Source organism: Homo sapiens, chromosome 2, assembly GCF_000001405.40.
Source record: "Homo sapiens chromosome 2, GRCh38.p14 Primary Assembly".
In the NCBI taxonomy this organism is placed as follows: Eukaryota; Metazoa; Chordata; class Mammalia; order Primates; family Hominidae; genus Homo; species Homo sapiens.
Window position 1 is genome coordinate 99,641,262 of NC_000002.12, and position 25,364 is coordinate 99,666,625.

Here is a 25,364-nt window from a genome sequence, read left to right on the forward strand (position 1 = left end):
TGAAGTAGCTAAGAGCACCAACTCTGGAGCTGCACAGACCACTCTGTGGCTTTCCAGACTGGGGGTGAATTACCTGAGTTTGGAAAGCAAGACTCACTAGGATTTTAGGGAGAGTACTTTAGAAGATGAAATGAGGCCAGGTGTGGTGGCTCACGCCTGTAATTTCAGCACTTTGGGAGGCTGGGGTGGGTGGATCACCTGAGGTCAGGAGTTGGAGACCAGCCTGGCCAACATGGTGAAACCCCATCTCTACTAAAAATAGAAAAATCAGCTGGGTGTGGAGGTTTATGCCTATAATTCCAGATACTTGGGAGGCTGAGGCATGAGAATCATTTGAACCCAGGAGGTGGAGGTTGCAGTGAACTGAGATCATACCACTGTACTCCAGCCTGGGCAACAGAGCAAGACTCTGTCTCAAAACAAAAACAAAAAAGAACACGAAATGAAATGAAATGGAGTTTCATGGAAAATATCTCTTTAAGGCCCTCACATTGCATTCTTCCTTCCTCACCAAGAGAGTCGTCGCGAGGACTAAATGAAGTAAGGTATGTGAGATGCTCAGTACACTACCGGACCTGCGACTGTTCTAAGGAGATCTATGACTACTTATGTGTATGCCAGCGTTGTGGTATACTCAGTATTTATGCACAAGCCTACATGTCCTCTACCACACTGTAGATTCCCTGCGAGTGGAATCCTTGGGTAATGAATTTTTGTGTCTTCTATAGAGACCAGCAGAATCCCTAACATTTTAGGGATTCAGTACTGTAAATATTCACTGAATGAATGAAGAAGTACAAATGCAAAACATAAGTATGAATAGTTGGTGAAGACAGCACACTTTAAGTCATGTCAACGGTACGAAGCACAAAAATGAGGGGGCAGGAGAGGGAGGGAGGAGCCAGAGGCTATCTGGCCCAATCCCCACTCGCTACAAGAGACTTCTCGATAGCATCATATAGTTCTCTTTTGTTATTGAGTTCTAATCTAATTCCACTCTAATTTAATTATACTGAGTGGTTTTGATCTTTTTTTTTTTTTGAGACTTTCTTGCCTACTTTTGGACTGAGTTTTTTTCTCATTTTTCCATTTCTTCCCCCTGTGTGTTTGGATTCTATAACATCCATACAAGCAGGCATGAACACCTCTTTGAGCCACTAAGCGATGAGCCCCTCATCATCTACCTGTGATTCCTGAGGCATCTGTTGCAAGGATGGATAGCCACAGTTGCAAAGAATTATTTCCTCTTTTAAGCCCAAAGTTGCCATTATTTTAACCACAAAGCATTGGTCTAGCTCATCCATTCATTTATCAAATGACTTACGGTGTCTGCTAATTGCCAGGTACTGTGCTAGGTGCTAGAGATAAAAAGGTTACCAAGCCAGAAATATTGTTACGATGCAAAACGTGGCCCAAACCTCCTATCTCCGACCCCAGCCAAGCTGCTCTATTGGTGCTTGATGGGAGGCAAGAGAATCATACTGACCAGGAGTCCAGGGACCTGGGATCTAGTCCTGGCTCTGCCACTTGTGGCCCTGGGTGAGTTGCATCACCTGTTCGCGGCTCAGTTTTCTCATCTGTAAAATGGGCCCCATCTATCTTTCAGGGTTGTTGTGAGGATCATAAAATGAGACAGTAAATGTGATAGTGATTCTAAACTCTAAAGCTCTCAAAGTTTTTATTCACAACTTAATTGTACATTTAAAAATAACTAAAAGAGTATAACACAAGGGATAAATGCTTGAGGTAATGGATTTTTTAAAAGTTTTTTATTCATATGGCATACTTAAAAGATTTTTTTTTTTTTTTTTTTTTTGAGACAGAGTCTCGCTCTGTCATCCAGGCTGGAGTGCAATGGTGTGATCTCGGCTCACTGCAACCCCCGCCTCCTGGGTTCAAGCGATTCTCCTGCCTCAGCCTCCTGAGTAGCTGGGATTACAGGTGCACGCCACCACGCCCAGCTAATTTTTGAATTTTTAGTAAAGATGGGATTTCACCATATTGATCATGCTGGTCTTGAACTCCTGACCTTGTGATCCGCCCGCCTTGGCCTCCCAAAGTGCTGGGATTACAGGCATGAGCTACCGAGCCCAGCCCTAAAAGACTTCTTTATAAGGAGCCATATTGCTTTGGGGAGACCGAAGGCTGCTGAGGGCCTCAGGGCAGGGTTGATATGCACCTGCCAGCACGCCACCATAACATCTTCATGGAACCTTAACACTTTCTTAAAAGTGCTCCACCTCCTTTTTTTTGACCCTTAAAGAAGAGACCAACTATTAGTACTGTGTGGCAACTGTGCCTGTCCTCTCACATGGCCAGGGGACTGGGTGACACATTACCCAGAAAGGTACACTTCTGTGCTGGTGGCCACTCCAACACACTTCCTTTGTTTGGCTGGAGCTCGTCCACTTGACAAGGGGTCAGGAAGATGAAGCTGAATCCAACCCCCTACACTGCCAGGTGGGTACCCGCTGCCCTCCCCACCTTGCTATGGACCATTTCTGATCTGGCTTCTGGACACAGACCATTTCACATTCTTCTACCTACATGGAGGTGAAACTCCCTTAGTTTTAGGCAATTCCTCATTTACTTAATTTCATTATATACTCCCTAATGGGCAACAAGGAGATTGGATGTGTGAGATTTATTTGAGAAAGGGCAAAACTGAGGGCAGCAAATGTGTAAGCCTTGTGAGTCCTTTCTCCTTGCAAAGGCAACACTCGTCTGGCTGGTGAAGCCAAGAGCACAGCCACACGGCTGTTTCTCATCCTGGCACCCCCAGCCCCAGCACAGCACCCCACAGAGCATGCTGGATGCGTTCAGTAAATATTTGTGAAATAAATGAATAAATCAATGGCAGTTGTTTGGATTTCAATATAAATGGATCTTGGGCCTGAGATACTGCCAGATGGGCAGACAGGTTACAGTCTGGTGATGCATCTCCAAGGCTATAAAAATGTAGCCGTTGCTGGAGTCGCAGGCTGACATTTCAGATGATTATATGCACAATTTAACCACATGGCTATCTGTGCCCTCCAAGTGCCATCGCTTCAACAACTGTTTTCATGTTGGCTTTTTTGCTCGTTCCTCTCTCTTTTTTTTTAAGTCAAGCATAATTTTTTGCAGCCTCTCGTATTTCTAGCTGAACGTGATTTATTCATATAAAATTATGTTCCATTTTTATAAAACCCAAGTTACTGCAAATGATGCTTGAGGTTTCACAGAAAATATTAATTCCTGATCTGCTGCTATAAAGCATGCCTGCTCGCTGAGAGCAGCGCTGTCACTCTGAGACAGATGGAAGCAGTCCAAGGGTATGATTAACTTCTTAGTCCTGGCAATTGCCTAGTGCTCCTCTTGCCCTAGATTTCAAGATTGACCTCCAGCTTCTCTGCAGACGCGCAGTTGCTCAGCTTGATAAATCACATGAATCCCTTTTTTGATCAGAGTTATCTACTATTTACTACTCATGAAGGGAAGTTAATCGTATTCAAGGCACTTCATATGCTGCACACATATCCTTCCTTCTTCCTAACGGCACTTTGCATATTTTCCACATTGGCGGTGATGTGGCTTCTTTCGCAGTGCAGAGGGTCCACACCAAAGATCCACCTTTATCCTGTTTGTCCTTCTTCTTTGTCTCTACTAACCAGCATCAAATACACCGACCCACAAGAAGAAAAAACACGAGAGGCACACAATAAGCAGTGAATAAGTGAGACGAATTCTGTCCCTTTGCAAACTGAGATTTTCTTGTAATTGGCTTCTTTACTTTGTCAAGAACTTTGCTGGGCCGAGTGTGGTGGCTAACACCTGTAATCCCAGCACTTTGGGAGGCCAAGGCAGGCAGATCACTTGAGCCCAGGAGTTCGAGACCTGCCTGGGCAACATGGTGAAGCCCCCCCTCTACGAAAAGTCCAAAGATTAGCCAGGCATGGTGGCTACCATGGCACTGGGCAGGGCACGGGGAGAGCTGAGATGGCTTGAGCCTGGGAGGTCGAGGCTGCAGTGAGCTGTGATCACACCACTGCACTCCAGCCTGGGTGACAGAGTGAGACCCTGTCTCAAAAAACAAACAAACAAACAAAACCAGAAAAGAAAAAAGAATTTTGCCATCTCTTCTTGCCCTGTTTGTCTGCTTTTTTCATTTCTGGGGGACATAAATGGGCCTCTGGTAGGCCAGTTGACTCTCAGTGGTATAAAATAGATAAAAAAATTCTACTGTCCAGAGTAGAAAAGAACAGACAACACACCATCCCACTCTCACACACCCCTTCTTGTCACTGCTGGGCGGGAGGCGCAAGTGAGTGGGGCTGAAGCCCAAACTCCCCTTCTGCTTGCCATGGTGATCCAGTTTCAACCTGAAGCACATTTTGCCTATTTGGGGTGAACCATAAATTAAGTCCATTGGTCAGGCAAAACCAAGCAAGGGAAAAGGTTTTTTGGGGATGATCACAGTTGATTTTTAAAATTTATGTAACGGAAATATCACAGTTTTAATTTATCAAGATGTTATATTGATTACAGAAGATTCTCTGAACTTTAAAGCATACAGTCTAAACTGTCAGATATTGGATTTGTGCTGAAATGCCAATTTAGAAAATAAATCAGGCGACTGGAGAAATGGAAAGACAAGACTGACTTTCCAAAGACATCTGGACATTCTCTAACCTCCAACAACCCAGAGGGATGAGACTTCTACCCACTCCTTAGGAAGGGAAAGGGAAACACACCCCTTTCTTTTTCTTATAACTGGTCTCATCAGGTCAGATCTCAAGGCTTTGAAGTTGGGCTTCCTTATAGGGAAACAGATAACAAAAACTGGCTTCCTACAGTGTAAACTCATGTCCTTCCACCAACCCCAAGTCAATGAAATCCTGTTTCATCATCGATTTGTGTATCTTGGAACAAAATAGCTCCGGCCTTGTCTAAATGTCCTTGTGTTCACTGGACACTCAAGGTTGAGGCTCAGTGGAAGTGAAATGAGCCCATGGATGAGCAAACTTATAGGACACTGAGGTTCTGAAGGAGGATAAGACCCAGAGTGTGTCACAGACATGCTCCTCCATGAGGAACCAGTGTGCATGGCCAGAGCCAGTACGGGCTTTTCTGTCCTGTCCCAGAATTATAGAACTCAGGAAGCACCTTTTGAGGTCTGAAAAGTGCTTCTCCCCCAAGAACAAAGATGAAGGCATGAGCTAATCATTATGAAATTTTATATAAAGAGGTGATAACAGGCTGAAAGCAAAAGGTTTAGGGAACCAGGATGGTTTGTGTAAATGAATGTATAATAGGTTAATACCAGGCTCCAAGTAGCCAGAGATATTGGGCCTAGAACCCCACTTTGGGATATTCAGGACCTGGGGAGATCTTTACTCAATTCCTTTCCCACCCTGAGGTTCCTCTGGCAGCCAGAACATTAGGCAAGTCATACAGTGGTCTGACTTGAGGCACTCGGGTCATTTTTCTAGAAAATATTGGTTTATTCAAAAGAATAAGTAATGTGAGAGAAAATGACATCTGTCACTTGATAAGTTATTCTCTACTTAAAAACTAGAAAATATGAATGCAATTAATTCAGCAAGTGTTTTAAAATCATTATTTTGAAGAAGGGTTTTAATTTCCATCTTGAAATGGTTACAAATGCTTATCACTTATGGGGATTACGTCTGTGGCCCTGAATTAGTAGAGAATAGACAATAGAAAAAGAATGGCTGTTATTGAAAAGTCAAAAAACAACAGATGCTGGAGAGCCTGTGGAGAAAAACGAATGCTTGTACACTGTTGGTGGGAGTGTAAATTAGTTCAGTCATTGTGGAAGACATTGTGGTGATTCTTCAAAGACCTAGAGGCAGAAATACCATTTGATCCAGCAATCCCATTAATGGGTATATACCCAAATGAATATAAATCATTCTATTATAAAGACACATGCACGTGTACGTTCACTGCAGCACTGTTCACAGTAGCAAAGACATGGAATCAACCCAAATGCCCATTAACGATAGACTGGGTAAAGAAAATATGGTACACATATGCCATGAAATACTATACAGCCATAAAAAGGAACAAGATCACGTCCTTTGCAGAGACATGGATGGAGCCATTATCCTCAGCAAACTAATGCAGGAGCAGAAAAACAAACACCACATGTTTTCACTTGTTAAGTGGGAGCTGAATGATGAGACCCATGACGGGGAAACACACACTGGGTCCTGCCGGTGAGGTGTCAGGGGAGGGATAACATCAAGAAGAACAGCTAATAGATGCTGGGCTTAATACCTAGGTGATGGGTTGATGGGTGCAGCAAATCACCATTGCACATGTTTACCCATGTAACAAACCTGCATATCCTGCACATGTGCCCCTGAACTTAAAATACAAGTTGAAGAAAAAAAAAGAAAGAAAGAAAAAAGAAAACACACAGAGAAGGTAGCTTTACACAACTGCACTGCTAGAATAGCAAAGTCAGCTCGTCACTTTGAAATGACCAATTCTGAATAGAAAAAGTGCTACAGTAAAGTAAGGGAAATGCCCTATTACATTTGAGGATAAAGAAATTTGTAAGAAGAGTGGTGACAATGAAAACCTCTGTTTTTGGGTGGGGAATGGGCTTGACAAGGGATTTTTTGTGAAAATATCAGAAAAAAAGGAAATGGCATTGTTCATCATTAACATCCATGGACATTTTCTCTTTAGGACAAAGTTGTATATGTTTTGGGAAGAAATCTTCGAATGTATCAGTCCTAGTTTCTGATGAATTGTCTTTGTATTTGTGACCATGTCTTCAAAATAAATCCTTATTTTCCTAAAATAGGTTTTGATTCATTCTACTAAAGGTCATAATGACCTTTTTTTTCCTGTATTTATATGTGTAGCTTTACTAAAATATAATTTACATTCCAAAAAGTTCACCCATTTAAAGCATACAATTCAGTGGTCTGGTATACTTACAAGGTTGTGCAACCATCACCATAATCTATTTTTACAACATCATCATCTCCAAAAGAAATCTTGTACTCATTAACAATGACCAAGTTTCCCTTGCGTCTCAGTGCATTTTGTTGAAGGAACTGCTTACTTAAGAAGAAAAGTCAAAGACAGAAAAGAAATATGTATAGGAAAGAAATGACTATGTTATATTCTACATGTGTTTTGATCTAGACTCTTTCCTCCTCCTACTGACACATTCAGAAGCAGAGCAGTCATCAGCTTTTGTGAAAATCCCAAAAGCAATTCCAGAAGATCATGTGCCAGCCACTCAGGACACGCAGGCTTGTGTGGTTGTCATGGGGAAGGTTTTGTAATTGAAATAAAAATACTCATGCTCAGTCTGCCACCACACAGAAAATGCTTTTCACTCATGCACACCAGATAATTCGCCTAAGTGACAGGTTTTACTTTGGAGGAAGCACCGAGCTAAGCTGGTTTACACAGTCAATGATGGCTCATTCCATGAAAAAGGAACTGGGAAGGAAGGCAGGGTGGTGAAGGTTAGCTAGACAATGTGGAGGTGGCTGCCAGCCAGTCAGCCAAGGGCACAGCTCCTCCTGCTGCTTCTAATGCTGTGGAGACACACAGGGATTTCATCTTTACCTCCTGACAGTTCCTCAAAACACGCGCGCACACACACACACACACACACACACACACACACTCTCTCTCTCTCTCTCTCTCCAATCTTAGTAAGTGAAAAAACAAAAACCAAAACCAACCAAACCAAACCAAGGGTCTGGTCTATTCTAGAAAGTGACTTTACATACCCACATTCAACTATCTGTCTACAGCCTTTCAGACAAAGCAGGATATAAAATACAGCCTGTGTGTGTTTCTTGATGAGGTTTACACATCTCATTCAGTAACACGCGCCAGGAGAAAGACGCCAAAGCAAGGAGTAAAAAGTCAAGCACGTGGGACCGTGAGTTGTTGGGTTATGTGCATAAAATATTTCAAGAGAGAGAATCTTATCAAAAGATAGATAGCTCCCGGTGAAATGATATGGAAAAAGTCTGAAGAAAACATCTCAAAATAAATGAAGTATTTATTGCTGAAAAATGAGCTTAGATCTCAGCCAGTTCCAAAGTTCAGAATTTACCGCACCACTCAGGCCTTTCTCTCTAAGTTTCTTGTCTCTTGTTTCATTGCACAACAAGGGATTCTTCATACTTGCTATGAAATACAACAAGGCGATTTTTGCAGTGATAAACTCCACACATGCATGATAAATCCAAGCATGCAAAATGTTTAACATCCCAGTTCAGAGATACTTTAGGGACAAAATCCGATTATGAATTATATGCCACAATAAATAGGGCTCAATGTTTCATAAAGCAATTTATAGTTCATAAAAATGACAAAATGTACCTGTCAGAGAGAGCGCGGAGAGCCGTTCTCTGAGCTGCCTGCTGGAAGAAAGAAAGGGCAGAGATGTTTATTTAATATTCTGACTTTTGAATTACGTGCTCAATGAACACTTAAAAAAAAGACCCCTGCATTACACACATTTTTGCCATGTGGCCAAATTTTAAACGACTAGCAATGAAGTAGAGAGCACTGTTGTAAAATGTGAAATGTGTGTGATGAAATGAACCTTCACGGACAGTTAACTGAAGCCCGGCAATGCACACCTGCAACTAGGGGATGAGTTTGTCGGGGGGGCAAAGGACTGTACCCAGGTAAGCTTGGACAGGCCTCTGGAAATTGGCAAAGACCAGAGCTACTTCTCTGAAATCACTTTCCCATTGCTTTATTGTCCTTTCCTATAAGAAAACAAAAAGGTCTGTTTTGGTTTCTTTGTAGCTTCTTTCCCAATGAAGGTGTAATTTTTCACTCGGATTTCAGATTGAAAGTTTCCACAGTTGGAATATGGAATGCCACTAGAAATCTCAAGGGATTATTGATTTGCTTTAGGCATAGTTAATGATATTATGACAATGGTTTTTAAAATTCACATTGAAATGTTAATGGATACAATTATCTGCTGTTGGGATATGCTTTAAGATAATACAGTGGGAGGGCTGGGTGCGGTGGCTCACACCTGTAATCCCAGCACTTTGGGAGGCTGAGGCAGGTGGATCACCTGAGGTCAGGAGTTCAAGACCAGCCTGGCCAACATGGTGAAATCCTGTCTCTACTAAAAATACAAAAATTAGCTGGGTGTGGTGGCATGCGCCTGTAGTCCCAGTGACTCAGGAGGCTGAGGCAAGAGAATCGCTTGAAACCAGAAGGCAGAGGTTGCAGTGAGCCAAGATCATGCCACTGCACTCCAGCCTGGGCAACAAGAGTAAAACTCCATCTCAAAAATAAATAAATAAAATAAAAAAATTTAAAAAATACAGTGGGAGAAGGGCAGAGTGGGTGGGCACATACATAAGACAAGATGGCCTTGGGCTGAGAACTGCTGACGTTAGGCGATGAGCACAGGGCAGGTTCTTATATTATTCTGGCCATTTCCCTACATGAAATGAACAAAACTTTCATTTTGTATTGAAAATGTATTGATTTGTTTTTTGTTTTTTTCTTCTACTAAAATTAATGTGTGTGTGTGTGTGTGTGTGTGTGTGTGTGTATGCTGAAATTTCCCATAATAAAAAAACTAAAAGAAAAAAATCATAAAAAAGGCTCTATTTTGGCCGGGCATGGTGGCTCACGCCTGTAATCCCAGCACTTTGGGAGGCCCAGGCAGGTGGATCACCTGAGGTCAGGAGTTCGAGACCAGCCTGACCAACAGGGAGAAACCCCGTCTCTACTAAAAATACAAAATTAGATGGGCATGGTGGCACATGTCTGTAATTCCAGCTACTCGGGAGGCCAAGGCAGGAGAATTGCTTGAACTTGGGGGGCGGAGGTTGCAGTGAGCTGAGATCGCGCCATTGTACTCCAGCCTGGGCAACAACAGCAAAAGTCTGTCTCAAAAAAAAAAAAAAAAAAGGGCTCCATTTCTCCATCGGATTCTCCCAAGTTTTGTACTTGCTTTCCTTTTCTCTGGCTATTCTATTTTTCACCCATTTGCCTTCTATCTCTGGGCCCAATGAGGCCAAGGAAGGCAGATGGCACACGATGCTCTCTGTCTCAGAAGTCATGACTGGGGAGGTCAGTAGACCAGGCCTACTCAGCATGCACCGGGAAACAAGGAGTGTGCAATGGTCCTTTCCTCTTTGCATGATACACAGGTCATGGTTACTGTTTTTTTTTTTCTGAGACAGAGTATCTCTTTGTCACCCAGGCTGGAGTGTAGTGGCCTGATTTCAGCTCACTGCAACCTCTGCCTCCCAGGTTCAAGCGATTCTCCTGCCTCAGCCTCCCAAGTAGCTGAGATTACAGGTGTATGCCACCACACCCAGCTAATTTTTGTATTTTTAGTAGAGACAGGGTCTCATCATGTTGGCCAAGCTGGTCTCGAACTCCTGACCTCAAATGATCCACCCGCCTCTGCCCCTCAAAGTGTTGGGATTACAGGTGTGAGCCACCACGCCTGGCCTATGTTTACTGTTGACCAAGGACCTCACAATACTTCTCATGCTGATAGCCCATCACATTTAGATATCAGGAAAAATAGAATCTTCAGGTTAGAAAAAAAAGTCACCTCAGAACCATTTTCTCTGTTATGGAAATAAAATACACCCTTGGTGACAGTTCCACATCTTGGGATAAAAATAAAAGTAGAAGCAGTTATCGTCCCAGAAAAGCTCCTTCCTAAGGTAGGAGCTGGATGACCTCGGTACACTTTTAGAATAACATGGACATGAAAGATTAAGGCAGGGCAGTGTCAGGAAGGTGCAGGGATGGGCGGCCACTCCTCAAATGGTGCCTGGAACCATGAGCCGGTGTCAGTACATATCTGCTGAGTAAATGTTAGAGGGATGAATCAGTCAGGAAAGCCTTCCCTCTGAAATCTGAGCATAATTTTAAAGACAAGGAAGGATGTGGTCAGGAGAGAGAAGGCATTGATAGCACTGGGCTAGACGGCACAGCAGGGGCCTGTCCCAGCCTCTGGCAGCAGCTCTCAACCGGGGCACCCATGACTCCCAAACCCTGGGTGTCTGGAATTGATGAGGGTGTTTCTGTGCATTACATTCATGAGGGGGATCAATAATGGCAGTAGTGTCTGGGGCCAGGGATACTAAAGCCCTTCAAAGAGCAGGAAGGTCCCTTGTATAATGAAGAATTGTCCCCTTAAAATGACAAAGGGTGCCTGCAGAGAAACACTGCGGCAGAGTAGGAATGAAAGGAGAGCAGAAAGAAGGGCTGTAGGGAACATGAGCTCCAGGGCCTGGCAAAGATAAGGGGAATTGAGACAACTTCCATAAGTAATGCAGCAACACTGAATTAGGAAAACCATCTAGTGTGTTGAGCCGGGGTTGGAGAGTCCGACATTCTGGGACAGGTTTTGCCATTCATTTGCTATGGACCTTGCGTCTGGCCTTCAACCTCCGGCTTAGTTTCCAAACCACCCTTTCCTTCTCTGAATAGGGTGCTGAAAGAGACAGTCAGTCCGTGTCCAGGCTACTATGGACAATCCAAGGGGTTACTGTCCCCTCCTCATTCCCTAGATTCTGAATGAAGACCCCATGTCCTGGTATTCCATTGTCATAGGATTACCACAACAGATAAAAGAATACAGATCTACTGATCTTCTTGATAAGGAGAGCTGAGGGAGCAGCGAGAGGCAGGGGAAGAGGACCGGAGCCTGAGGAACCCACGCAGACACCTCCAGGGATGGGTGCTTCCCTCTCCCCTCAGTCCCTCTCCTGTGCTCTTCCATGGAGCCAGCGCAGAGCATGCTGATAAAACGCACCCAGCAGGCAACAGGTGGCATCACTGCTGGCAGGTTTGTCTCCTGGAGAGTTTCCCTCTCACTCAGCAAGATGGCTTTCGCTTTAGGCCGCGATACTTGAACTTAATTTAACTCCCTACTCCTGACTGTTTGGCTGAATATACAAGAAGTATTTTTGAACTGCCCCAAAGAAAGGTGGAATGTATTATTAGTATTGTCTCTTAACATCATCTCAGCAGGAGCCATGAGAGACTGGCTCCTCCTGGAGTAACAGAAATCATAAGAGGTGTAACTAAAAGTTCAATAGAAACCTTCAACATGGCATCTGAATTTCTCCCTAGTCATGGAAATAGACCAAGGCTGTCAATATTTTAAAAGGCTATTGACTCTTTTCTCTCCCACCTCCAAACAATTCCTGCTGACTTCTGTGATACGGAAACAGCGCTTGCTGATGTGCAGCTGGTCAGAAAATGATTTAAAAAGCGAAAGGAAAACAAACAAACAAAAAGAAGAAACACTGCTGTCTGGCCGCCAATGGAGTGCCTAGGAATTGAGGCATCCCAGTGGCGGCACCTGTTGGCAATGCCACAGGACTGATGTTAGCCCCGTCTTCTAATACAAGCTGAGTTGGAAGCTTAGAGCAAGGGCTGCTTTCCTTTAGCAGACTGGTGTGATGCTGGGAACAAAAGGTCCTTCTGGGCCGAGAGACAGGGCACCCTACGAGGCACTAAGCAGTGTTCTCTGTTGATTCTTCACTCTTCCAATCTGTCACATGATGTATGCTACCACGCATGCAACAGCATGGTACTTAGCACCATCAATTGCCTGCACTGCTTTTTTTCTTTTTTTTTTTTTTTTTGAGATGTTGTTTCACTCTTGTTGCCCAGGCTGGAGTGCAGTGATGCGGTCTCAGCTTACTGCAACCTCTGCCTCCCTGGTTCAAGCGATTCTCCTGCTTCAACCTCCAGAGTAGCTGGGATTACAGGCATGCGCCACCAAACCCAGCTAATTTTTTTGTATTTAGTAGAGACGGGGTTTCACTGTGTTAGTCAGGCTGGTCTCGAATTCCTGACCTCAAGTGATCTGCCTGCGTCAGCCTCCCAAAGTGCTGGGGTTACAGGTGTGCGCCACTGCGCCTGGCCTGCTCTGCTATTTTTTAATGACTAATTTTCATTGTGCTATTTAATTTGCAGTCACTCTACATCATTAAAAATTTTACAAAAACTCACCATCTATTATGAAAGAAGAGGAGTATATGTCAGATGTTTTAAATAATTTGAGGAAAAAACCCTTCATGGCATTATATTAATTGTATATATACCAGAGCAAAGGCCACCAAGATGTTTTTACTGACTCCTCTCTTTAAAAAAACCTTCAGCTTTTGCACACTATTTTATTTTACTACTGGAAAATAATGAAACGAATAAATATTGGAATTAAATGGCAAAGAAAAAATTAGGTGACTCATGATTGAAACTTGAAAAAGTACTCATAGTAAACTAGATGAATTGCCCAATTTCATTCCTTCAAGAGTTATACATTACAGCAACTATATTTTTCTCTTCCTAAATCTCACATCATCTCTTCCTTGCGACTTGCCTTTTATTCAGTTCTCAGCAAAATAGGTTGAGAGGGTTAAGAGAACACGTCATTGATCCTTCCTGAGTTCATTATTCATTACGAATGATTCTAAACTCCAGTCTATGAGACAAAACATGTTCTTTTTTTTCTGCCAGAAATTGCCATTTTCAGGTTCTCCTCAAGAGATGACATATTTTCTCTGTCTTTATTATAGCAAGCTTGTTGCTTGGGAACACAATCAGTAGATATTCAGGTTTCAATGTATGCTAAATGAATTACAAGTCACATTCTGTTATTGAAGGGAAATCAAAGAGGAAATTAAATGCCCTTATTGTAATTGGGTCAAGCACTGAACAAGCTCATGGATCCTGGAGTGGGGAGGAAAACAAAGGGAGAGGCTGAAATTCAGAGGGCTCTCAGAATGATCTCATTTCTTACTTGATAGAAACAGAACTTACGCCTGGAGAGGTTTGTAATTCAGTCTGAAGTACCTACTATGTGCAAGCACTGGACTTGGCTTAGGTGGCAGTCACAACAAGCAAAGCCCTTGCAATATTGTGCTTAGTGTCTAGAGGTGGGGCAGACATGAAAAGCTACACACACACACACACACACACACACACACACACACACACACACACACACACAGCAGTCTACATTCCAAGGGGCATGGCTGAAGAGGACAGGGTGCTCTGAAACCAACTAATGAAGGAAACCTTGTTTGGAATGAGTGTCAAGGAAGGCTTACTAAGTAAGAAATAACAAAGCTGAGGCTTAAAGGATAAAGAAAAATGATCACATCAGAGAAATGGGGGTGGGTGGCGAGGGGAGTGCTCTAGGCAGGGAAGCTCTAGTTTGGGAGCAAAGGCCAGGAGCTGGCCTAGATCCTGGCTCAGCTGAAGAACTACAAGATGTCACTGTGCTGCGGTTCGGCAAGTGGTAGGGACAGCAGCAGAGCAAGATGAGGCCAATCCCAAGGGTTTTAGACATCAAGTGAAGTATGTTAGGTATTAACACAGGACAATAGAAAGTCATCGAAGGGTTTACATTAGGGGAAGCTGGGTGAAGCATGCATGGGGCTTGCTTATATGTTCTTTGCACTTCCTGTGAATCTATTATATAATTAAAAAAAATAGTACGGAGGGAGGCAATAAGATTTTTCAAACATCTTGCTGGCTTCTGCATGATGAATGGAATTGGGTAGGAAGCGACAAAGTTTGAGGTTATTGCAGTGATGTGGGCAAGAGAAGAGCATGGTAGTAGTGAAGATGGAGAGAGCTAGTGTTACATTGTGAAGGTCTGATTGAGGGAACAGGTGACTGATTGGATGTGGCAGGCCAGGGAGAGGCATCAGGTGTGAGGTCCAGGTTTCTGGCTTGGGCACCTGGTATGGATGGAGATCCACTTGTTAAGTGGATTAAACTGGGGGCATAAGAGCAGGGGGCAAAGGCAGAATTGAGTGTTGGGTGTGTGAAGTTAAAGTTGCCTACAAGATGTTTCAGTGGAGACTCTGAGTAGCTAGCTGGATGCATGCGACTGAAGTTATTAAATGCCAATTAAGTAAGAAACATCAATAACAGTCATAAAAAATGGATTGAGGTTTCTGGATCTACATTTTGCTACTGTTCTAAGAGAAAAAGATTTAGGTTTCAACTGGTTGGGATATATCTTTGTGTTTTCATTATGGATGTCAGTAACCTCCATTTTTGCTATCAACAGTATCAGATTTATTCTGCTGACAATAAAGGAGGTATCTCTGCACAGGGATTTTAATCAGCTTGTTGCACCTGTGATAGGACATTGTATCCATATTCAAATACTTGAATAAACGCCCTTGCAGCCAATCTTAGTTTGTGTTTTGCTGTTACTGAAGCACACTGTAAAATTTAGACCCAATCACATATTTTTATAGAAGTTCTATTTGTAAAGCCTTACATTTTTGCTGTTCTTTTTCAAGTTGAGACTTGTACTTATTAATTTATTTCACGGTTTAATTTCCTTCCACATCTATAAGCAATTTTATGTTTCATTATCTGAACTTTTATGCCATTGTTTTCCACTTCAGTCCTAGTTAATGGGTCTCTTAACTTTTTATGTTGTGGGCTTCCATTTAGTATTTTTCAACCCGTTTAGTAATATCTGCAAGACAAAGGAAAAATTCTTACTCCTCTCTATTTTTTCCTCAGCAATAATGAGTCTTTTGCATTTTCGGATTCCTAGAAATAAATGCTGCCTAGGAAGCATTTTGTTCGGTCAACTTTGACCTCATCCCATTCTCTATAGGGGTCAGGCAGTCAGGGATGATAATATAATTTATCATCCAAATAAGAACAAATTTGAGAGAGAAAGGGGATGCTAACCAGACTGGAGTCAGAGACAAAACGAGAAAACCTGGCTGTTCTGGGCACATGGGGCTGTACAGTCGCTCTAATGAGGACTGCTCTGTGCAAATATGACTTGCTGCTTATAAACCCTGTTAAATAAGATCATGATAAGAAGGCAGACCTCAGGGCCTGAGGAGCATGCCAATAACGAAAGCACAGAGCTGAACGGGGTCAGCAGAGGACGAATCCTTCTAATTCCTAATGTTGAGTCCAACTGATGCTTGTGTGATTTTCTGGCTCTCTGTCTATCAGCTCCTCCCTCTGTTCACAGCAGACACTCTGAGGTCTAGCTCACCCTTTGTGTTAAGTGTTAACTCTTTTGTAAAAGTTCTCAAGCTCCTCTCCATGCACTCCTAGTCTGTAACATGAAGTAGCCCTGGATTCTAGTCATTTTTGGGGAGTATGCCGTCTGCCTCATGACAATTTTATTTTTGGCTTCCCAAGTTCCTTAAAAGAACATTGATGGCAGAGATCCTAGCTCATTTTCCCTCCACCTAAAAGAGCTCTCTCTCAACCCATAACACTTACAAGATGTGAGCAGGTAACCTCGGGGATGACAAATACTACTGTTTGCCACGATCTCCAATCTAAGAGGTTTGTGGAAATACATTTTTTTCACATCTGTGTATTATTTCCCTATTTGCTTTATTTAAATACTTGGACACATTTTCCTCTTTGAAAAATATTTGACTATCTTCTGCTTCCCCACATTACTTAGGTTTGTTTATGTCTACTAGAAATTTGATAGACAATAAAAAACATTTATTGAGCACCTAGTATATCCTGAGAAAAATGCTGATTAGGGTTGACCATACCAGATGAAGTTTGCACAGGCAACATTATCTCATAAGGTGGATTCTGTTATCAACAGAGTGATCTGGGGGCCTTACGTGAGGCCAGATTGTCAGGGACGGCTCTAATTTGGCAAGTCAAATCCGAGAGGACTGAGAGAGACATACTTATTTTTTTGAGCATTTCTAGGACATTTCACTCCCTAGAGATAAACCCACGTGTGACATCCACTTCCTGGTTCTCCTTGCTCCAAAGCACGTGGCTCTTCTAGACTCTGGAGGCTTTTGCCATCACAAATGAAAACGAAGGCAGATGCTATCAGTCAGAAGCAAGAAGAGAAAGGTGTGAGGACAACATGAGAGGGTGCCGCAGGGACTGTCCCTGTCCAGGTAAAGGCTCTATGGAGGGCATAGAAGATACATGGCACCCTGCAGGGCAGGACATTCTGAACACCATGAAAGCAACATTATAGGTGAGAGGGGCCCTGAAGGATGCCTGGAGGAGGGCTGGGGGACACATGCCTGGTGTGGGGGTGGTAAGAGGTCACTCTGAAGTGGGAGGATGATGGCAAGAAGACCATGACCATGTGTGAGGTTATTAGTGTTCACCATGATGTGGGGTGGGTGATATCTAGCCCTAAGCCAGATTCTCGGGGCAACTCAGCCTCAGCCTCCTGAGTAGCTGGGATTACAGGTGCCTGTTACCACGCCTGGCTAATTTTTGTAGTTGTTTTTTAGTAGAGATGGGGTTTCACCACGTTGGCCAGGCTTGTTTTCATAATTTTATACTAACATTTATTTATATTCATAGAAAATATTTTATATTAATCTACTTTAATATTTTTGTCCAGTGCATTTAAGATATTGAAACAGAGGTCCAGGAAGATTAGCTTGCCTGTGGTCTCAGAGCCAGTAAGTAAAGGAACCAGGCCAGTGAGGGCTCCACAGAGCAGCCCCATTCTGTCTTGGCCTCACCATGGACTCCTGTGGCTGGAGGTTGAAAGCAAAGGGGACTAGGTGAATTCTGAACTGTGGCAGTTTCAGTGAGAAGAGGACTGCTGGGACACTGGGTGGATGCTAACAGACACTGGGGGAAACCTTTATCTGGGGATGCCAGTGAAGGGGAATAATAGGAGTCACCTCTTAGACAAGTGTTGGCAAAGGAGATGGGAGGATTTCAGGTTTCTGAGACTAACTTCTCTTCTCAAGAGGGTTATATCCTTATTGTTGATCTTGGCCCTTGTCAAAATCTTCTGGGGAAGAATTCTTTTTACCTCCAGGGCTCACCATGACAGAACTATGTAAAGGAAGTAGCTGTCTGGGTTAGGTCTGGGTAGGAGCGAACATCGCTGAAGATTCGCCTGGCAGAGCGGGCAAACCTACTGGTGCTGTTGGATGCTGGTGGAAGATCCAAGCTCAGCTGCCTGTTCTCAGAATCAGGTGGCTGAAATGTGGTTCCTGGGACTGAGTTTTGGCAAGGCAACTGTGCCTTCTGGATGTGCACACATGCATACATGTGCCTGTCTAGCTACAATTTCAAAGTGACAGCAAACAAACAAGAGTAGCCATCAGACCCAACGCTGGCTGAGCTGCTAGGAGATACAATGCAGGTAGTATATGCATCTAAACTTCTGGTTCTTAGGAATGGAAGTTTAAATGTGGAGTGCAGATGGTGATGCTGGTCAAAGTGAGGAAGTGATTTATCTTCTGGACAGCTGCCTTGGCTTCCAGATCTCACTAGAATGGGCAGGTCTTTTCTAGAGGTCTGTGACATACAATTTTAGGGGAAAAAATAGAAAGTAAATCGCCACTAATAAGTGCTAAGTTCGAAAAGTGCCAGTTGACTTGTCTTTCCAGATAGTTCCAGCCTTGGTGGAATTTAATGCAGAAGAGATGACATGTCAGAGTGACTGGAGCATGAGGCGATCGTATGCACACGATGAAGCTTTGCATAAAGGTGATACTGACGTAGCTCCTTATCACAGCCTAGACTATTTAGGTTCTGCTTGGACAATGGATCAAGTTTCCTAGCACAAAAAAGACCTGTGTGCGCAGAAACCGCTGCTTCGTGGTCCAATCCCTCCACCAGATGAAAGCACTAAGTACTGCAGGTTCCATCATGACTCTGTGGCCTGCTCATCTGGGCTTTGGTCATTCACATGTTCCTGGAACTCATCTCACAGGGCAATTTCAATGCAGGCCAGACCTTGAGCAAGGCCAAGATGGCGATGTCCATTAATGGCTTTCATCTTTGGCTCAGCAGGTGGATACTGGGATTAGTCATTTCCTATTTTGTTCAGTTTGCCAAATACATTCTGGACCTTTAAAAAGTCCTTATGCTATCGCAATATGATGCTTTGGTAGAGTCCTGTCCACTTTCCACTGGCCTTGGCAGGTGGTTGAGTAATATGAAAGCAACTAGCGCCTAAATTGTGAAATACAAATGTTACTTTGTTTTTGTAGAAAGACCAGATGAAAATAACACAAAATGTTTTGGTATTTTTGTTAAAAATGCAATCTGGGCTTGAAGAACTTAAATCTAAGTCTGGCTTTATGTTTCATTTAAACCTTTTTTTACTTAGGCAAAATAGCAATATTTGAAGGTAAAAACAGGTTTGTAATGATTAGGAAAGATTCTCCTAATTTCTTAATTGCACTTTGCAAACCAATTATACAAGAGAAAGCTGAACCAGTTCTGAATGTGTTATTATTGTTATCAGGATTTTTACCTCTCAAGTGAACAGTGCTTTACGATTTATATGTGAAAGTGCTTTCGCATGTAATGTATAATAATCACACAGTCTTCTTTGAAATGCCTTGAACTTTAAGAACAAATCCAGGTTGAAAGAAGAGGTACTCAGAGAAATAATGTGAATCAGATCTCTCCAGAGAATCAGATCTCTCTACTGGAATCCTTGCGTGCAGGGTTTTCTAGCGTGCAGATGACCATATCTGGGGGCCTAACATTCTAGCCACTATCTGGTCTGCTTCTTAAACATGGTCTTGTTTTAATTAACACAACCTTTTGGCTGCAGATCTGGTGGGGATGGAATTGGGAAGTGCCAAGGGACCTTGAATGATCACACATGATTTTTCTCCGTGTAGAAACAACAGGCTAAGAGAGTCTCCTGAGAAAAGCTGGGCTTGTGAGATAACCAGCCCTACTCGGAGAAGCTTTGGAAAAAGAAAAACAAAAACTCAACTTTACAACTGTATATCTGGACCAAACACCTGAGGGACTGTCGGTAAATCCTTTACTATATGACACTGCCCATGCCTGGAAATGAGGGATAGCGTATACTCCAAGGAACAACATCTCTTGTAGGGTTTCACTTCCTGAAAAGCTACTGAAGAAAAAAACCATTGAAGTCATGGGACAAAGGGCTATTCCTCTGAGTTAAATAACAATGTCCCCTGGAGGGAGAATTCCACTTCTTCTGCCAACCAGCAACCCTGCTGGCAGCTGTGTTTGAGAAAAGCGTGCCTATCAACTAATGATGCCTAACCCCTCTCCTGGCTCCTGAATGGAGAGTCTGTGTTGGTGGTATTGATACCCACCATTAACAAAAACTTCGCTTACTTTCAAAAATGTAGATCCTTTTATGAATTCTTCATCATAACAAAGGCAATGGTTTCCCATTTTTGTCTTAATTGTATGTTTGCCCAAATTTGATGGATCATGTTTTGGTTTTTATATAATTTTCTTTTTCCAGATTTCCATTTAGGGTCCTCAGGCTGAAACTAGGCATATCCCATGGCCCAGGCTGGTTGGACACAACTAAATCTACATAAATCTCCATTGAGTCTCCGAGGAGATTCGATGAGAAAATATTTTAGGAAACAGCGTTATGAGTCTCTGTGCTCAGTGATATTTAAGTTGGCTGACCATTTCAATTTTGGAAATTATAGTCCATTAACATGAAAAAAAGGCAATTACATGTTTGTATATTTCTACCTATGCTTGTGCTTTTTGCAAATGTTTATAAAGAGTGGCATGATAAAATAAAATAATTTTGTGTTTGCTTCTGGTGACAGTAAAATTTTATTTATAAAATACAATTACTGGCCAGGCTCGCTGGCTTATGCCTATAATGCTAACACTTTGGAAGGCCAAGGCAGGGGGATCACCTGAGGTCAGAAGTTTGAGACCATCCTGGCCAACGCGGTGAAACCCCGTCTCTACTAAAAATGCAAAAAATAGCTGGGCATGGTGGCACACACTTGTAGTCCCAACTACTCAGGAGGCTGAGGCAGGAGAATCGCTTGAACCCGGGAGGCGGAGGTTGCAGTGGGCCAAGATCGCGCCACTGAACTTCAGCCTGGCAACAGAACAAGACTCTGTCTCAAAAAAAAAAAAGGCAATTACTTAACTAAAAGCTTTAGGATGGTTAAACAAACAAACCAACCCTTCTGCTGAACATTTGAGTTTCACTGATTATGATGGGAGGTTCAAATATATGATTACTTCATATACGGATATGAAAAAGGTCTGATAGGCAGTTTTCAATTAGAGTTATTGTTCTGTTTCCATATTAATAGAAACCAATTAGTTATTATGAACAGATTGGGTATTTAGCTCAGGTACAACATAAAATGCAAGACTAAAAAGAAAAACGAACATACAGTATTCTTTTTTTCTGTGTTGCTATGAGGTTTAATATATTTAATATATACTTTTTGTATGGTCCATTGGGGCAAGGGATTTCCTGGCATTGAAAATTTACTCAAAATATCTGTGGTTAAGTTATCATAACGAATATTACTAATGTCTAATTCATTAAGACCAACAAGCCAGCATCTTACATGATGTTTGGTACTTAGTAGGTATTTGAGACTATACTCAGTTTTTTGCAAAAACTGTCTAGCTCTTGTTTGCCTACAAATAACATTGACAATACAGTTCATTTCTAATGTAGGAGAAACTTCATTTTGGAGCCTTGCCCCTCAAACCTGGTCCTGATTACTGCTTCAACTCCTGTTTATATAATTCTACACAATTTTGGCAGGATTCAAGAGCACATACCAGGGTGTTGGCTTTTATGAATCTCCTGGGATGTGAATGTCACGCTGACTGGATGAACCCTGGCCACAAATCCCAGACAAGCACAATGATTCTATTTATTCAGACTTGGCTGCCTGAATGCAGATTGACTCTGTGGGTAATAAATTTTCACAGGCCAAGAGCGTCAGGATCAACCAAGCTGATCCTGAGAAGAAAAATGCAACTAAGGAAGTAGAGTTGGGCTGCAAAAACCTCCTATGTTTTTATTCCATGTCTGCATATCATTCAGCTAATTCATTTAGTTACTGATTGACATGTACTGTCAATGCTTTCAGACATTTTAAAAGCTCTGCTTTGTGTTATGCAATTGTCATATTAAAAAGAAACAAGGGAAAAAATGAAGAGCTTCCATTACAATTGGCAATCTGCTTTTAAGAGTACACCCAAAACTGATGTGAGTCATCCAGTAATCTCTGTGGTAAAGAGCACAGAATTGAGATGGGAATGTTTCTTGTGCTGCTCCATAGGAAACCAAAGGAAACAGCAATAAGAACTGCAATTTTGTGCTCAGAGCAACCTCACCTACAATCTTGGTATCTTGATGAAGCAAGGCTTTACATTATTTCTAAGAGACACGACTATTACTCTATGCATTATAAATAAGAAAATAATTGGCTCTTTAATTTGCAGATTTATGTTAATGATCTAGATATCTATTAAATTAATTGCATGCTCTCCAAATATTGATTGGGGATTAAAAGGCAGCTTTTCATTGTGCAAGAAGTAAATTAACGCCAATGGGGAAATTTCCCTCTACAGATTAGATCCAATGATTGTTGTCTGTAAAATTAAAATAGTCAGTTAAAGGGGATAAACCATGTTCATTTAAAGAGAAAAATGTGGCAACAGAGTTAAAATAAAAAGACTGCCCAATATGTTTGGATAACGTAATTACTGGAAGCTGCAGGCATGTACATAGCCATTCAATTTAGATCCCTGGTCCCTTCCTCTCCCTAAGCTATGTATTTGTCATCTCCGAAACACTTGTCTGCAGTTGACACTATCTCAGCTGCTCCTTGCTGAAAGTCTTAATCATGTGTCCCTGTCCTCATGCCTTAGCTATAGTAATGCCATCTACTTATTTGCTTGTGTCCAACCTCCCAAGCTTACCCTGACTTGAGAGGCAGAGCTCATCTTTTTGCCAAATGGGAAGACATGCAATATAATTAATCAGTCCCTTCCTAATCTATTAAATTTTTTTAATACTTACTGTCTTAAGTCTTCTAATTCCTTCACATTGTTTCACAAAAACATTGGTCTTTGGAATTGTTAAAACCAACAGTTACAGAAAGGAGATCAAACAAATTACTCCAGGTATCACATACCTTTCATTTACTCAGATTAAATAAGAAAGCTGATTCTCAGATATTTTGTGCTATTTCCAGTTGGAACCTCATCCAGTGTGAAAATCATAGGTGCAACCATAAGGCTATGCTTCCATTTCATTTATGTTTGTAAACTTTCTAAGGAAACCTGGTCACAACCCCAGCACTAGAGGCTACAGCCAAAATTTGGTTATTCTTGAAAGGGAAGGCTGTGGAGAAACTCAGTCTCTTGGTTTTGAAGACTTCTGTTTGAGATAACTTATGAAAACTTGTAGTTTCAATATAGCTTGATGTAAGCATCCTTAAGAAGGGGCTATAGACATTTCCATGGAGATCGGATAAATGCCTTTTTTCTCAAATAGGTTATTTGTGTATTAATCTATAGCCAATTTAAGATATTGGGCCTTATATTTTTGTCATCTCTGTCAATACTTTTGATGTTTGGACAGAACTCATTTGAAAAATCATAGAGTTCAGGAAAAGGAACAAAGGCAGAGCAAAGGTCATCTTTGATATTGTACAATGGACAGTGGGAAATACTCTCAATTGAAGGCATCACTATGCATTTATCCACGCATTCGTTCAACAAATATTTAGCAGTTCTGCTGTGCCAGACACAGTCCCTGCCCTCAGGAAACTTCCAGTTTAGCTGGTGTAGACAGATCTTAGAAAAAGTAAACATAACATATAACTAAAATTACGATGAGATTCAGGTAAAAAGATGAAGGATACTGTGAGACGGACTAACTGGGAGTTGATTAGATAAGAGGGAGGTCTCCCTGAGGAAGTGAAAGTTATGCTGTGCCTCCAACATGAGTAGGTGTTAGCAAGGCAAAAGTGAGGGAGTAGAGGCCTATGGAGGCCCTAAGGCAGCAGAGCTCAGCTTCCTGCAGGAGCTGGGAGAAGGGCCGGGCCACAAATGAGCTCAGTGTGAAGATGAGACGTGGACAAAGCCAGATGGTGCAGGGTAGTGTCGGCCATGCTGAGGGCTCCGAATTTGATCCCGGGTGGGATGGGAAACCTATTTAAGATTTTAGACCAAGGAATTACTTGATCTGATTTTTAAAAGATCACTGTGGGGAGGCTGTATTACAGAGGGCAGGAAATAGAAATACAATAGTTTATACCAGACTGGTTTTGACTAGCTGGGAATGGAAAGAGGTAGATGGACCAATATTTAATTTTGGAGGCTGAGTTTATAGGACTTAGAGATGAAGTGACTACCTGAGTGAGGAACAGGGAATCATCAAGGATGAGTCTGAAGTTTCTAGGCTGGAACAGCTGGGCATCTGGCAGTGCTAGTTTTGGAAATGGGAACAATAACAAGACGAACATGTTTGTGTGTCTGGGTAGTGATGGCAAAGGCCAGAAGTCCAGTTGGGCACAGACTGAATCTGAAATGTCTGTGAGACATCCAAGTGGAAAAGTAAAGTAGGTTTGCGGTTCAGAAGAGAGTTCTGAGCTGGGGATATAACTTTAGAAATTGTCAGTATATAAAAATTGAAGGTCATAGGAATGGGTGAGATCACCCAGAGAGCAGACATGGAGAAGAAAAGTCAGGAATAAACATGGAAAGTTTCCAACATTGGGCAGAAAATCAGAGTCAGCAAAAGAGCCTGAGAAGAGAAGCCAGAGGGGCAGGACCCAAACCAGGAGAGTGTGGTGTTAGACTCCTACAGAGAAGTGGGTGATGAACAGTGTTCAATGCTGTAAGTCTTCTAGTAAGACAGGGGACTGAAAAGAGCCCAGTATAATTGGCTCTACAGAGGTCATTGGGGGCCCAATGAGGAGCATTTCTGGTAAAGAGATGGGGTCATAATGAGATCAAAAGAACAAGTCTCTATGTAGCTCTGAGGAAATGGATGAACTTTGGATAGGAGCAGGGCAGTGTCCTCTCACAACAGGAGGACACAGGATGAGTGAAGATGGAAGCAGTGGTGCAGATGTGGTATTGAGAAGTTTAGGTTTCTCTGCTAGAAGCCAGTCAGCCATGGTATGAGGTAGGGAAATAAAGATGAATAAGATACACGGTGAAATTCAGGTTGTTTACTTATGAAGTTGGGAAGACAGAAAACTACATTTGTATCACCTATTATTATTCATTCTGTAACAAAGGTAATTATAGGATATTAAGGGAGAAAGCATGCAAAATGACAGTACCAGCGAACTGTTATAAGTTATGTATATATAGTGTAATACCTAGAATAGCCACTAAAAAAGCTGTACAAAGAGATACACATAAAAATGTTACAGACAAATCAAAACAGAATTCAAAAGGTTTAAGGAATACACAGAAAGGCAGGAAAAAGAAAATTAAAACCAGGAAGAAACTAAACAAAAAATAGAGTGGTAGACTTAAGCTTTAACAAATCAATAATTACATTAAATGTAAATGGTCTAAATGTATCAATTAAAACACAGAAATTGGCAAAGTGAATAAAAATA

At 42.1% G+C, this 25,364-nt stretch overlaps 1 protein-coding gene and 1 long non-coding RNA gene across 29 annotated transcripts in view; one reads left to right on the forward strand and one right to left on the reverse strand.

Annotated features, from left to right (window-relative positions):
- The window catches only part of AFF3 (ALF transcription elongation factor 3), a 597,172-nt gene that overhangs the window by 95,843 nt on the left and 475,965 nt on the right, over positions 1–25,364 (reverse strand). For 20 of the 28 annotated variants that reach the window (NM_002285.3, XM_047444286.1, NM_001386135.1 and 17 more), the window contains one exon: positions 8,365–8,405. In NM_002285.3, coding sequence (NP_002276.2) covers positions 8,365–8,405 — 41 coding nt within the window. The remainder of the gene's footprint in view (positions 1–8,364; positions 8,406–25,364) is intronic. The other 8 variants (XM_011511169.4, XM_047444278.1, XM_047444284.1 and 5 more) reach the window with 1 other exon arrangement.
- On the forward strand, positions 16,789–20,555 carry LOC124906051 (uncharacterized). Its single transcript, XR_007087155.1, has 3 exons — positions 16,789–17,005; positions 18,390–18,489; positions 19,638–20,555. It is a non-coding gene; the product is annotated as an uncharacterized LOC124906051 (long non-coding RNA).